Below are 12,400 nucleotides of genomic sequence, written 5' to 3' on the forward strand. Positions count from 1 at the left end.
GCGCCATCTGCCGCTCATCCCCAGGTCCCACGCACTTTCACCACATCCCACGCGGGCTCCATAGACTCCCGGGAATTCCTGGAGCATCCTGCCCAGGGTGGGGCCCATCCCTCGATGGAGCCCCCATCTCCTGCCCCTCTGCGGCTGCCCCGGCCCCGCCCCGGTGGTCTGAGCGCTCCCTCCTGCAGCAGGGGACACCAGCAGCGCCCGAAGCAGGTGGCGGTGGGAGGGCGGCGGAGGCGGCTACGGGCGACTCCAACGCGTCCGAAATCGTCTGTGCGGCAGGAAGTCAAGCGTGAAATTAACTTTCACTCCGCGGCCCCAGCATGCAGACGCAGAGAAATTAAAGTGACGGGGCAAGGTCTCTGGGGAGGGAACGACCTCCCACCTAGAAGCAATGACAGCAGCGGGGGCGAGGAGGCCGTGAGCGCCAGGGAGGCTGCTCCAGGGGAAGCTGGGAGCCCCACCTGACCCCGGCTGGATCATCTCATTGTCCCATGGCGGCAGTCACTTATCACAATGTATTTATTCTTATCAGCCTCCCCTACTAGAATGTCAGGCCTCATTCACTCCTATCTCCTAGAGGCCCAGAACAGTGCCTGGCGTGTAGTAGATGCTCAGTAAATATTTGTCGAATGAATGAGTCTGGGTCTCTGTAGACAAAAGAAAGAAGAACCAAAAACCCAGTAGTATGTGCTGTACGTGCTGAGCACTGACCTTAGTGAGCACGTCTGAAACTGAGCCCTAGAGGGCAAGTGACTTCCCACAGGGACACACAGCTAGTCAAACAGCCAGGACGAGCTGCGGTCCCACTTGAGGTCCCTGTGTCCAGCCACATGGTGGGACGGGGCCTGCACGGGGCCTCCCTTCCCATGTCCCAGCACTGGACACGAGACAGTTTCTGCAGTCTAGCATGAGCGGTCACAAAACATCAGAGCCTGCAAGGAGTGCAGGGTGCAGAGGCTGCCAAGGGCAGCTTCCTGGGCACTGCAGATTTCCTGAACATTATGCACCCTCAGCTTGCAAACCTCCCAGTGACAGGGTGCTCACTACCTACCTCGGCAGCTCCTGCAGGGGCCTTCCCATGGTATTCTCACCCCTACCCCCAGGTCCTTCCTCCCTGCAGCCACCAAAGTGAACTTTTAAAACAAAAGTCTGATCACATTGCTTCCTGGGATAAACTTCATCACTATTATAAACTTCATCATTATTATCCCAACAGATAATAAAACCGGAACTCCTTACCAGCCCCCCGTGACCTGGCCTGTGCCCTCCTCTCCCTTGCCTACCTCCTTGGGCCATGCCAGCCTTCTCTGTGACCCCTGCCAGCTCAGGAAGGCCTTTGCACCTCCTGTTCCACCTGTCTGGGACACTCCCCAGAGGTCCACACAGCCAGCTGCTGCTCAGCCTACAAGGGTCCCCTTAACTGTCATGGCCTGCCCTGACCTCTCTGGCTAATGTCACCCCCTCATTTTCTCTCCCATTACCCCACTTACCAGAGTAATAGAATTTTTAAAAAATGAATGACTGCACAATGAAATTTAATGATAACCAGATTGAAATCTAAAAAATAGAAGGGATGATAATTTTAGTAGAAAATATCCAAAAAACTAAAATTATTAGGACAAATCAGTTCCAACAATTTACACACAAAGGTTTTTCTAACAGAAGTTGACTACTTACAGTGTAGGAAATCTTAATTATTCATCTATTTGTTTTATATTATACTATATTACACATATTTTTTGAGACAGAGTCTTGCTCTGTTGCCCAGGCTGGAGTGCAGTGGCGTGATCTCGGCACACTGCAACCTCCATCTTCCAGGTTCAAGCAATTCTCCTGCCTCAACCTCCTGAGTAGCTGGGACTACAGGTACACGCCACCACAGCCGGCTAATTTTTGTATTTTTAGTAGAGATGGGGTTTCACCATGTCGGCCAGGCTGGTCTCGAACTCCTGACCTCAAGTTATCTGCCCGCCTCGGCCTTCCAAAGCGCGGGGATTACAGGCGTGAGCCACCGCGCCCAGCACATCTAGTTGTTTTAAATAGAAACATGTTTGTTTGTGATTTAGATTTGGAACAAATTCAGTGAGGCGGTTACCTATTTAGTCAAAATGCACTTCAACGGACCACAGTCATTCTCTGAGGAAGATTATGAGATGTCAAATACAGCACTGGCTTTAATATGCTTACAGTTTTATTCTACTTACACAAAGATGAAGCAATATCTATTTGCTGGTGTCATCTATATGAGCATCTTGCTCCTCTTTTGTTTAGATTCTATGGCTGTCTTTATTACCTGAAATCAACCACAGTATTCAGCTTAAAATATCACTCACTTTAAGTGAAAAAAACCTATGTAAAATTGTCAGTATAATAATATGGCTATCAAAAATTATTATGTCAAAAAGAAAAATCATAACTAGGTATATGAAGGCGTAAAGAGCTTAAGATAGTTATGTCAGCATAGTACTTTAGATTCGCTGGTATTTTCTTTCTTTTTTCTTTCTTTCTTTTTTTTTTTTAACAGAAACAGGGTTTTGCTCTGTCACCCAGGCTGGAGTACAGTGGTGCAATCACGGCTCACTGCAGCCCTGAACTCCTGGGCTCAAGCGATTCTCCCTCCTTCGCCTCCTGAGTACCTGGGACCACAGGCACGTGCCACCACACCCAGCTAATTTCTTGTCAATTTTTGCTATGTTTGGCCAGGCTGGTCTTGAACTCCTGGCCCCAGGCAATCCTCCCACCTCAGCCTCCCAAAGTGCTCGGATTATAGGCATGAGCCACTGCACCCGGCTGTATTAGCTGACATTCTCTTGTTTTGTTTACTTAACTCATTCTGGTTCTGTCTCCACTGCTAGACAAATCTTGATGAGGGATGAGGCCTTTGTTTTATCCAAGGCTGAATAGCCAAGGCCTAGAACGGGACCTGACACACAGCAGGCTCTCAATAAAGATGGGATGAATGAATGAGGGAATGCCCCAAACAGCCTGGACTCAGTTGAGAACACCCCACCCTCATCCCCTAAACCACCTGTGATGAGGTCCTAAGAATGTCCCCCTTGCTTTCAGCACCCCTCCATCTGTGGCTTCCCACCCCAGACAGGGGCCCCAGAGCAAGGCAGGTCCCAGGAAGCTGCAGAAGGGACAGGGGTAGCCCAATTGGAAGACAAACTATGTCGAGTCAAAAGGGATCTGGGACCTGGGCAATGAATGAGCCCGCCAGGCCGATGAGGAGCCCAGGCTGCATCTGACATGGGCCTTCTGTACCAGCCCGGGACCCCTGGCGCAGAACACATGCCCCTTCCTGACACACTCTGCAGCCCCTGCTGGCCACTGGCTGAGGATGACCCCCCCGCCAGCCACGCTGGTGAAGTATCTTTGTCAGGTGCTCCTGAACCCGAGAAGGCCAAGGGCCTCAACTAGCAAGGAGAGATTTTCTAGGCTGCTGCAACAATGACCAGGTGGCCAAGTTGATCACCTGAGCTTGGACCAGTCGCGCAACTCTGGAAACTACAACAGCAGCGATCTCCCCGTCGACTAGTCCAGCACCAGCAGATGTGTGAAAACACTGGAAGGTTTGCACGCTTTCAGGAACGGGGAGCTCACCACCGCATATACACTCTGTAGTTCCATCCCAGGAACGCTTGAACAATCGGACCGGGCTGAACTACCCACCGAATCAGCTAAACGCCTCCCTTTGCAGCCACACTCAAACGCCTGTACCCTCTCACCATGACGAACCTTGAACATTCAACAGCTATGATCCTGAAGAGTCTCACCTCCAACCTACCAGCCCACCACGTGGCCATATGTTCCTCAAGGGGCAAGATCTGCAGCCCCTTTTACCTTTTGGGTTCCTGGGCACTAACATGAGATAACATGCCCTCCTCGGCCCAACAGTCTATGCTCCCGTTAATGCATCCCAAGAAAAAGCCAGCCCCCTTCCAGCTGCCACACCTCCAATGCCTTGTACCCCGCTTGAAGATACAATGCTACCAGCCTCCAGCACCGCCTCACCCAATGGCAGTGGCACTTAATTGACATTTTCTTCCCTCCTAGCACCGGTCTGGGAAAAGGCCCCCATCATTAGAATACATCACATTGGCCACCTCCAAAGCCTCAGGGCCTGGATGAGTGCTCTGATCTGCCCCATAGTGGGCTGTGCCAGAGGGACCTCTCTGTGCAGACACCAGGTGATTCCCAAACATGCTTATGCCAGAGCCCAAAACACCAGGCCCCCGCCTGCTCTGGGGCCACTCCCCATCTCCCTGAGCCGGCTGCCTTCTGCCCGCAACAGCTCCCTCCTGCTCGAACAGGATGCAGATGTACAGCCTGGGACCTCTGACCTCCGTCTCTCCAGACCCACCTGTGCACCAGCAGCTCCCTCGCCCACCCTCCCAAACCCAGCCTGTCTCCCAAAACCTCAGGGGGACACTCTCTCTGCTCCCCACCCCCACCCCAGGTGCCACCTAGGACTGTCTCCTGTCCCCTCCGGGAGCACCTGGCCCTGGCCGGGAGCCCCTGATGGGAACAGAGAGCCCACGTCCCACATCCCATGCAGGCTGCTGAGAGCCTGCTCGCCCACCCTGCCTCTGTGTGTCTGCACGGCTGCCCGCGAGCACTCACATTTTGATGTTCTCATGATACTGCCGGGTGTCGGAGGGCTGGTTGTACAGCGGCTGCAAAGGGAGAGAGAGAAGCACATCAGAGCCTGGCTGGCCACTCGCCACTACAGAGCCCACCGGTAGGAGCCACAGCCCTGGCACGGAGGAGCTGTCCTCTGGGTGAGGGCTCAGCCGCAGGCAGGCATGAAACAGAACACAGGGACCCAGCACGCAGCCCCAGCCAGGAACAGGCTGAAACTGGTTCCTCGGGAACAGCTGTGGGTACTGTGACCACCCCCACCAAGGTCGTCATGGCTGCTCTGCGGGGCATTCAGCAGTGCTGGCCTGGAAGGGGCCACAGCCCAGAGCACACCCGGACAAACCCACACACACCCCAGAGATTGGCCCTGGCCACCAAACGTGGAAAGCCACTTGGCTTCCTAGCTCACCATGGAAACGCGCGTCCCAACGCTGCAAGATACCACTCCACCCCCACTGACCAGCAAAAGACAAAAACGTTGAATGCCAAGTGTTGGTGAGGTCTGGGGTGACAGGAAGGCTGGCACATAGCTGGTGGGAGCATGGTGTATGGGCACACATCCCCCAGAGAGACAACAGCCACTACCTGGTAACGAACACCGACGCCCCCGCTTCCGACCCCCATGCTCCTGCAGTTGCCTACTGTGCTCCACCAGGAGACGGGCGCTAGGATGTTCCTAACGCACTGCTCACAGCGGCCAGTGAGAAGCAAGCTAGCCGTCCACCACCAGAAGAGCAGCTAAGGAGACCAGGACTCGGTTACACCACAAATCCCACACAGCAGTGAGAAAGGGAGGCAGGGCCCACATGTAGCAAGCACAGGGCTTCAAAGAGCGTACCAGGAGACGCAGAAAGCACGGCAGCATCTGTGATGGTGCAGGGACCAAGCCAGCTGCCACGTGTCCCCTCCCAGATGGAAGAACCTTGCTTAGCAACCAAGGGCACAGCCTAGGTTCAAGTCCCGGTTCTGATACTTTCTAGCTGGGTCTCCCTGGGAAGTTACTTATTCCATCTGTGCCTCCATTTCTCCTCATCTATAAAATGGGGTTAAACTCATAGGATTTTGTGAAGATCAAACGAGACAGTGCATGCTAAGCTCTCAGGCTGGTACCTGCAGGCTGAAGTGCCCAGAGGTGCCAGTCACATTGCCGCCATCAGGGAGCAGTGGCTGTGCTAATGGCACCCACCTTTCACGCCTCCCTGTAACCACCCATGACCTTGCTGTGGCCAGTGGAATTGCTGCACACTTAGCAAAAGCAGAGGCTTGAAGATGCGAGTTCGCATTTCTGCTGTTTCTGTCAAGAGAATGAGCCTAGCCTGGCCTGCAGGAAGCGGGCAGAGAGGCAAGGAGCAGCGTGGTGCAACCCAGCCTGGGCTGATCTACAACGCCGGCCCCCCGACTCCCTCGCTGGCCACGGAGGTGCAAGAGCTGAGCCCACACCAGCAGAAATGCTCAGCTGCCTTCCAGACAGGTGAGAAACAGTGAACAGTTGCTGCTTCAAGCCTCTAAATGTGGGGCTGCTTTGTTCCCCAGCAGTAGCCATGTAACCATACCGGGTAACTGATACAATCATCCCCCACTGTACAGAAAGAAAAATTGAGTCCTTAAGAGGTTACAACATTTGCCCACAGCTGGTAAGAGATGAGCCTGAATGACAGCCCGCCTCTCAGCCCCAGCGCTGGAGGAAGGAGTCTGCTCCCCTCTCTGCCTGAGTCTCTGTGTGTGTGTGTGTATGTCTTTCTGTCTGTCTGTCTCCCTCTCTTCCTGTCCCTCTCCCTCTCACACACCCATGCACACAGCAGGAGCCTCCCAGGGTGGCCATGGGTGACTATGGTGGGAAGATCAGGTACAGAGTGTGAGTGATCAGATGGAACAGGGAAGGATGGAGACGTGGAGTCCTGCAGCCTCAGGGCAGGGCTGCAGCGACAGAAGGGACACACAAGTCTCTTCCCTGGGGATAGAGCTGAACACACCTCCTGATGACGCCGGCAGAGTGGGCCACCCAGACCCCCGCCCACCCATCCCCAGGGAAGGGCCTCTGCAGCTCTACAGAGCCTCACAGACAGTCTCGGCTGGTGACAATGTCGCCTTTCCCCCTGTAGCCCCAGATCCCCTCCTAGAGAATTCACCACTGGGCTCGGGCAATTCCAGGCTCCTGCTCAGCTACTCTCCTGGGGACAGAGATGTCATCCTGCAGCTGCCATGGGCCATTTCTCCCCGTGCCGGGTCAGGCTCCCCTCCCAAGGTTCTCAGCCCTGAACAGAGGGCAGTTTCCCCACCCTGACCCTGGAAGTTTGAACAAGAGGGAGAAGTGGGCAGAGGAACAAGAGAGCCCACGGTCAGACTCACTGCAGAACTTCCCAGTGGAGGGAAGGGGTGCAGTGCAGCATCCCTGCAGAGGGTGCGAATCCTCGTCTCAGGAATGGCAAGGGGCCCTGTGAAGATGCCCATGCTGTAACCCGGGCAACCACACTGGCTCCTTTATGTTCCCCACATGCCAATCAAATGCAGGCCAGGTGCAAGCGGACATCACTTAAAGGTTCGGGTTTTGGAAACAGATAGGCCCCAATTTAAATGGTGCCTCCTCCCTCACTAGCTGTGAGCTTGGACAAGTGCCCTCAACACTCCAGCCTCGGTTTCCTCATCTGGAATATGGGTGTAGGTCAAAGAGGACCTACTTCACGGAAATTTTGGATAGCCCAGAAAATTTCAGACTTGGTGAAATTTGGTGTTTGTCTTGTTTTGGTTTTAAAGATAGCAAACAGCCGAAGGGGGCCAGAAAGGGGCTGGAAGCCCACAGCACGCAGCCCTGGGAGGGCGAGGTGGGCAGAGGGGACAGTGCTTCTGCGGCACAGGGCGGGTGCAGAAATGCAGGACCGGCTCCCGGGGGCAGCAAGAGCCCGGTCAGCCTCCAACCCACCAAAGCCACAGGGGAGGAAGGCCACTTCCACTTGGTGGCCTCCTCCCCTGCCCTGTAGATAGGGACACAGCCCCTGCTTCTCAAGGCGGCCATCGGTGAGGGGCCCACAAGGCGAAGGCCCCGAAGGACTGAGGATACTGTGGGGTGCTGCGGCCTCTAAACAGGAACTGCCCCCCTGGGAGGCACTCACCAGCCACTCCCCGAGGCCCCTGAACCCCAGGAGCCCAGGGGAGGCTCTGGGCCCAGAGCTGCCTGGAATGCCGTGCACCGCCATGGCAACAGGCTGAGGACAGCCATCTTGGAAAGCCCAGAAGGGAGTGGGGGGAGGGAGGGACAGTGACATGTCCTGGCAGGTGCATTGCTGAGGGGACGCAGGGCCCGAGGGGACTCCCCAACATCCCCCTCATCCTCTGCAGAGAGGGCTGCACAAAGGCCTGGCGGCTCCCAGCCCAGGCTAGCCGGGGTCCCCACATGGGGCCATGAGGCACCTCCACAGCCACACAGGCTGGGGGGCATGGCTGGCCCCTGTCCCTCACCCCCAGGCCTTATCCTCCCGGGAGAAATGACCCCTGGGGGGACTCACGCCAGTGAGGGAATCGAGGCCTAGATGCGTGTGGAGCCTGGGGTGGTAGGGGCGGCACCCAGGAGGCCCCAAGGTCCAGCTCTCTCTTGCTCAGCCTCCGTCTCCTCTAAAATCAGAGGCACAGCCACTCAGAGGGCAGAAAGAGGGCAAAGGGGAGCAGGTGCCAGACGCAGGGCGCAGGCAGAGATGAGGCATGGTGGTGACTAAGAAAGCCAGCAGGGGCCAGGGAGGAGGCGGCCCCCCTCGGGCTTTGAGCCAGCCAGCAGGGCCACCAGGAAGAGCCAGAGTCCCAGGCGGCCTGAGCTGGCAATAAATGAAGTGACAGCCCCAGCCCTCAACCCGCTGGTGACACCAGCTTCTTAAAATAACGCCTTGGAACAGGAAGGAAGCAATGACTCAAAGCGGCAGAGAGGTCGGGGCTGCTGGGCACGCCCTCCACCACTGCGCCCGCTCCCAGCCTGGTCCAGTCCCCACAGCTGGGCTGGAGGGGCCGTGCCCCACCATCTCAGTGCCCCCGACCCCTGGTTAGCACCTCTGGTGCTATTTTCATCCTTTCCAATGCAAATTCCTCCAGGAAGGCCACAGGGATCCGTCCCTGCCGAGGGGAGGGGCGTTGGAACTGCAGCTTCTGATGGAAGACACCCTGGGAACTGGACTCTGTGACCCACAGCACCTCAGGCCGTCCCTGGCCCGGGCTTCTGGCACCCAGTTGGTAGACAGGACCCTGCAGAGGGTGCACCATGCAGCTGCCTCTGCTTGGAGGATGCCTGTGGCCACTCGGGCCTGGCAGATCTGTGCAGAACTGGCCGGCCGCTCTCCCAGGGGCTCAGCACACCTCCACGCCTCATCTCTTGCTGTGTGGCCCGGCACAAGGCACTCCTCTCACTGAGCCTCATCCAGAAAATGGGACGGCAACAGCTCTGTGAGGCGTCCTCCCTGTCCCCACTGACTGGCACCAAGCCAGGGGCCTTCAAGAGTCCAAACACTAGATCTTAGCCTCCTGTGCCATCAGCCTTGTGGAAGCCTCTGCTCTGAGATCCCCAAGTGGAAGACAACCCCGTCCCCTTGTCTCCAAAGAACCAGAGAAGACTCACTGTGGGGTCCCTGGTTCCAAAGCTTCTGACACCAGCAGCTGCCCACCCCCATCTGCCCACAGACTCCCACGGACAGGGGCTTCCTCGCCTGTGTTCCTCGGGCCCTAAGACACAGGCCCTTTCCCCCAGGAGGCCCCCGGGGACCAATCAGGAAACGGGAGCGGGAGGACCCGGAAATCTGGAAATGCTTGGGAACTTCATCCAACCCTGCCATCCCTATTTGGCAGAAAAGGAGAAACCGAGGCAAGAGGCAGCTTACTGGTGGAGATGTAAAATGGTACGGCCACTTTTCGGCCACTTTGGAAAACAGTTGGGCAGTTCCTCAAGGGGCTAAACAGGGTTAACAGAGGATCTAGCAATTCCACGCCTAGGTACACACCCAGGAGAAATGAAGACGTACGTTCACATGGAAACGGCACACTAATGTTCACAGCAACTTTATTCACAATACCCCAAATATGCAAACAATCTCACGTCCACCGACTGATGAGTGGGTAAACAACACGTGACCTACCCCTACAGTGAAATATGATTCAGCCACAAAAAGGAACGAAGGACCGACCCACGCTCGACACGGATGAACCTCGAAAACATGATGCTGAGTGAGAGAAACCAGACACAAAGGACCACATATTGCAAGATTCCATTTATAGGAAATGTCCAGAATAGGCAAATCCATAGAGACAGAAGGGTTTCTTTTTGAGATGATGGAATGTTCTAAAATTGACCGTGGTGACAGTTGCACACATCTGTGAATACACTAAAACCCACTGAACTGGACACTTTGAGTGAATGGCATGCGTGTGAATTGTACCTCAATAAAGCTGTTTACAAAACAAAAAAACAAGCAAGCAGCAGCTGCTGCTGCTGAAAACTTCCCCAGATATCACTTCCACTGAGAGAAGCACGACCCTAGGCCAGAGCTCACCACCCAGATCGCCCAGGCCCGAGGATGTGCCTGGAGGGGGCAGAGCCCTGAAGGGGTGGGGGAGCCCAGCGAGGTTCCTGAGTCCAGCCAGGTGGGCAGCTGGGCCCTGCTTCTGAGCTGGAGGAGCCCTTGCCATCTCCTCCCTGCTTCTGCCTTCTGAGTGGGCCTGGGAGCCCGGGGCTTGTAGTTCCTGAGTGGCCTCAAAAGACGGACCCCGGGCTTTGGGGAGCTCTCACTGCAAAACTGAGCAGCCTGCAGAAACTTCAGGGGGAGCAGCTCATCACCAAATTGTTCACAACTACTGAGCGCTTCGTAGGGACCAGGAGCTGCACTAGGTGAGCCTTTAACAGGCAGCACTGCCTTTAACCCTGGGAAGACCCTGGAAGGAGGCCCTAGAGCCTCCGCCTGTCCCAGATGAGAGAGCACTGTGGTACTGGGAGGTCAGCCCCTTTCCTAAGGCCACTTGGCAAACATGCAGTGGAGCTGAGTTTAGATTGAGGCTCTGAAGGTGTCAGACTTCTGTTTCGTTTTTTTATGAGGCAGGGTCTCACTCTACTGCCCAGGCTGGAGTGCAGTGGTGTGATCATAGCTCACCGCAGCCTTGAACTCCAGGGCTCAAGCGATCCTCCTGCCTCAGCCTCCCAAGTAGCTGGGACGAAAGGCGTGCATCACCACACCTGGTGAATTTTTTAATTTTTTGCAGAGACAAGGTCTTGCTATCTTGCCCAGGCTGATCTCAAATTCCTGGCTTCATGCAATCCTCCTGCCTTGGCCTCCCATAGCACTGGGATTACAGGTATGAGCCACTACACATGGCGAAGGCATAAGCCTTTATCTGCACCCTGGGCGCACTCACACGCACACCCTAGCCCACCATGCACACAGAGACTCTCCCTCATCCGGCACACATGTGGGTAGCATATACCTTCAGTGCCCACCACGGCCATCCATGCTGACCAGCTCAGTGGGCACAGATGGCTGTGGGGCAGGCAGGGGCTGCGGCCCATTCTCTGGGGGCTAGGGCTTCTGCATCCACCCATCCTCAGCCCAGGGACTCCAGGAGGCCTGGGGCCTGCTTTCCAGCTCTGCTGCTGACATGGCATCTTTCCGCAGCAAAAGGACACTAGTGACAGCCATCATCGCCATCATCGCCATCATCATCATCATCATCATCATAGCTAATGCCCAGCACTTACTGTTTACAAGGCAGGCGCGGCACCCGATGTTGGAAAAATATTAACACAGCTCCTCCTCACTGTAATCCAGTGGAATAGGTGCTGTTAGGATTCCCATTTTACAGATGAGGAAACTGAAGCACAGGGAGGGTAACAGACCCGCTCAGGGTCACACCGCCATGAAGCGGTGCACCTGGGAGTGGACCGAGATTGTGTGACCCAGAGAACCGGCTCTCCGCGCTCAGCTGGAGCAAGCGCACCGGCCTACGGATGTGTGACTCTCCTCACAGCCCGAGCGGCCGGGCTTCACGGTATGCACAGGAGTGCGCAGGTGGCCCCGGAGGCGCTCGCTGCCAAGACTCCCCACCCCCACCCAGCCCAGCCAGGCCCGCCCACCCGCTATCTGCCGTCCTCTCATCAGGAAGGTGGGTTTCCTGCTTCCTCCGCGGACGCCGCCTGGGCAGCGCTTGGTAATAGATGACTTCCTCCTCCGCCGCACCCTCCCGCCTCCCTGCCCACCTCTCCAGCCACCCCCGCCCTCCCCTGAGCCCCTGACCCTGTACCCCAGCTCACCAGCTCCACCTGGGGCCCCAGGCCTTCCAGAATCCGATGTGCAGCTTCAGCCTTCTTCTGCAGGGTGATGGCGAAGAGGAGGAATTTTTTTAAAAAACAAAAAAACACAGATTATAAATAGAGGCTTCCCGGAGCAGCGGGCACCTGCCCAGCCCAGTCCAGCATGCTGATCCTCAGCACGGGGGAGGGAGGCCCGGGGCCCCCTGCAGGCCCTCCCCACGCTGGAAAAAAACACAGAGGAGCCTCAATACCCCCACAGCGGCCCCAGCAAGCCAGCCAAGTTTCGATTTTAGCAAATGCGCCGGGTCCACTGAAGCCTGCTCCCCGGCAGGCGCGCAGGCCTCGCTCCCCCAGGGCCCAGCGACGTGGGCACCGCTCCCCACCAGCCCAGCCGACACTGCCAGCCCTGAGATGCCTTCCCTCACCCTGGAAGCTGGTTGGGTTGTCTACAATTACCTCAGAGCTAGTGCAGCCAGCGAG

General features: G+C 56.3%; 1 protein-coding gene across 3 annotated transcripts in view, besides 4 other annotated features; it reads right to left on the reverse strand.

Annotated features, from left to right (window-relative positions):
• NCOR2 (nuclear receptor corepressor 2) overlaps positions 1 to 12,400 on the reverse strand; it is a 243,198-nt gene that overhangs the window by 120,771 nt on the left and 110,027 nt on the right. For all 3 annotated transcript variants that reach the window (NM_001077261.4, NM_001206654.2, NM_006312.6), the window contains exons 8-9: positions 11,921 to 11,977; positions 4,630 to 4,682 (exon numbers count right to left, since the gene is read on the reverse strand). In NM_001077261.4, the coding sequence (NP_001070729.2) occupies positions 4,630 to 4,682; positions 11,921 to 11,977 (110 nt within the window). The remainder of the gene's footprint in view (positions 1 to 4,629; positions 4,683 to 11,920; positions 11,978 to 12,400) is intronic.
• Positions 7,777 to 8,615: an enhancer, noted in NCBI's record as "H3K27ac-H3K4me1 hESC enhancer chr12:124937508-124938346 (GRCh37/hg19 assembly coordinates)". NCBI's record gives its function as "activates a minimal SCP1, AML or CMV promoter by ChIP-STARR-seq in naive and primed H9 embryonic stem cells {active_cell/tissue: H9 hESC(naive and primed)}" and the evidence as "EXISTENCE:reporter gene assay evidence [ECO:0000049][PMID:30033119]".
• Positions 8,015 to 8,074: an enhancer, noted in NCBI's record as "active region_7286". NCBI's record gives its function as "activates an Ori minimal core promoter by ATAC-STARR-seq in GM12878 lymphoblastoid cells {active_cell/tissue: GM12878}" and the evidence as "EXISTENCE:reporter gene assay evidence [ECO:0000049][PMID:35858748]".
• Positions 11,682 to 11,811: a silencer, noted in NCBI's record as "silent region_5058". NCBI's record gives its function as "represses an Ori minimal core promoter by ATAC-STARR-seq in GM12878 lymphoblastoid cells {active_cell/tissue: GM12878}" and the evidence as "EXISTENCE:reporter gene assay evidence [ECO:0000049][PMID:35858748]".
• Positions 11,842 to 11,901: a silencer, noted in NCBI's record as "silent region_5059". NCBI's record gives its function as "represses an Ori minimal core promoter by ATAC-STARR-seq in GM12878 lymphoblastoid cells {active_cell/tissue: GM12878}" and the evidence as "EXISTENCE:reporter gene assay evidence [ECO:0000049][PMID:35858748]".

The sequence above is a fragment of the Homo sapiens genome, chromosome 12 (assembly GCF_000001405.40).
Source record: "Homo sapiens chromosome 12, GRCh38.p14 Primary Assembly".
NCBI classification, from domain to species: domain Eukaryota; kingdom Metazoa; phylum Chordata; class Mammalia; order Primates; family Hominidae; genus Homo; species Homo sapiens.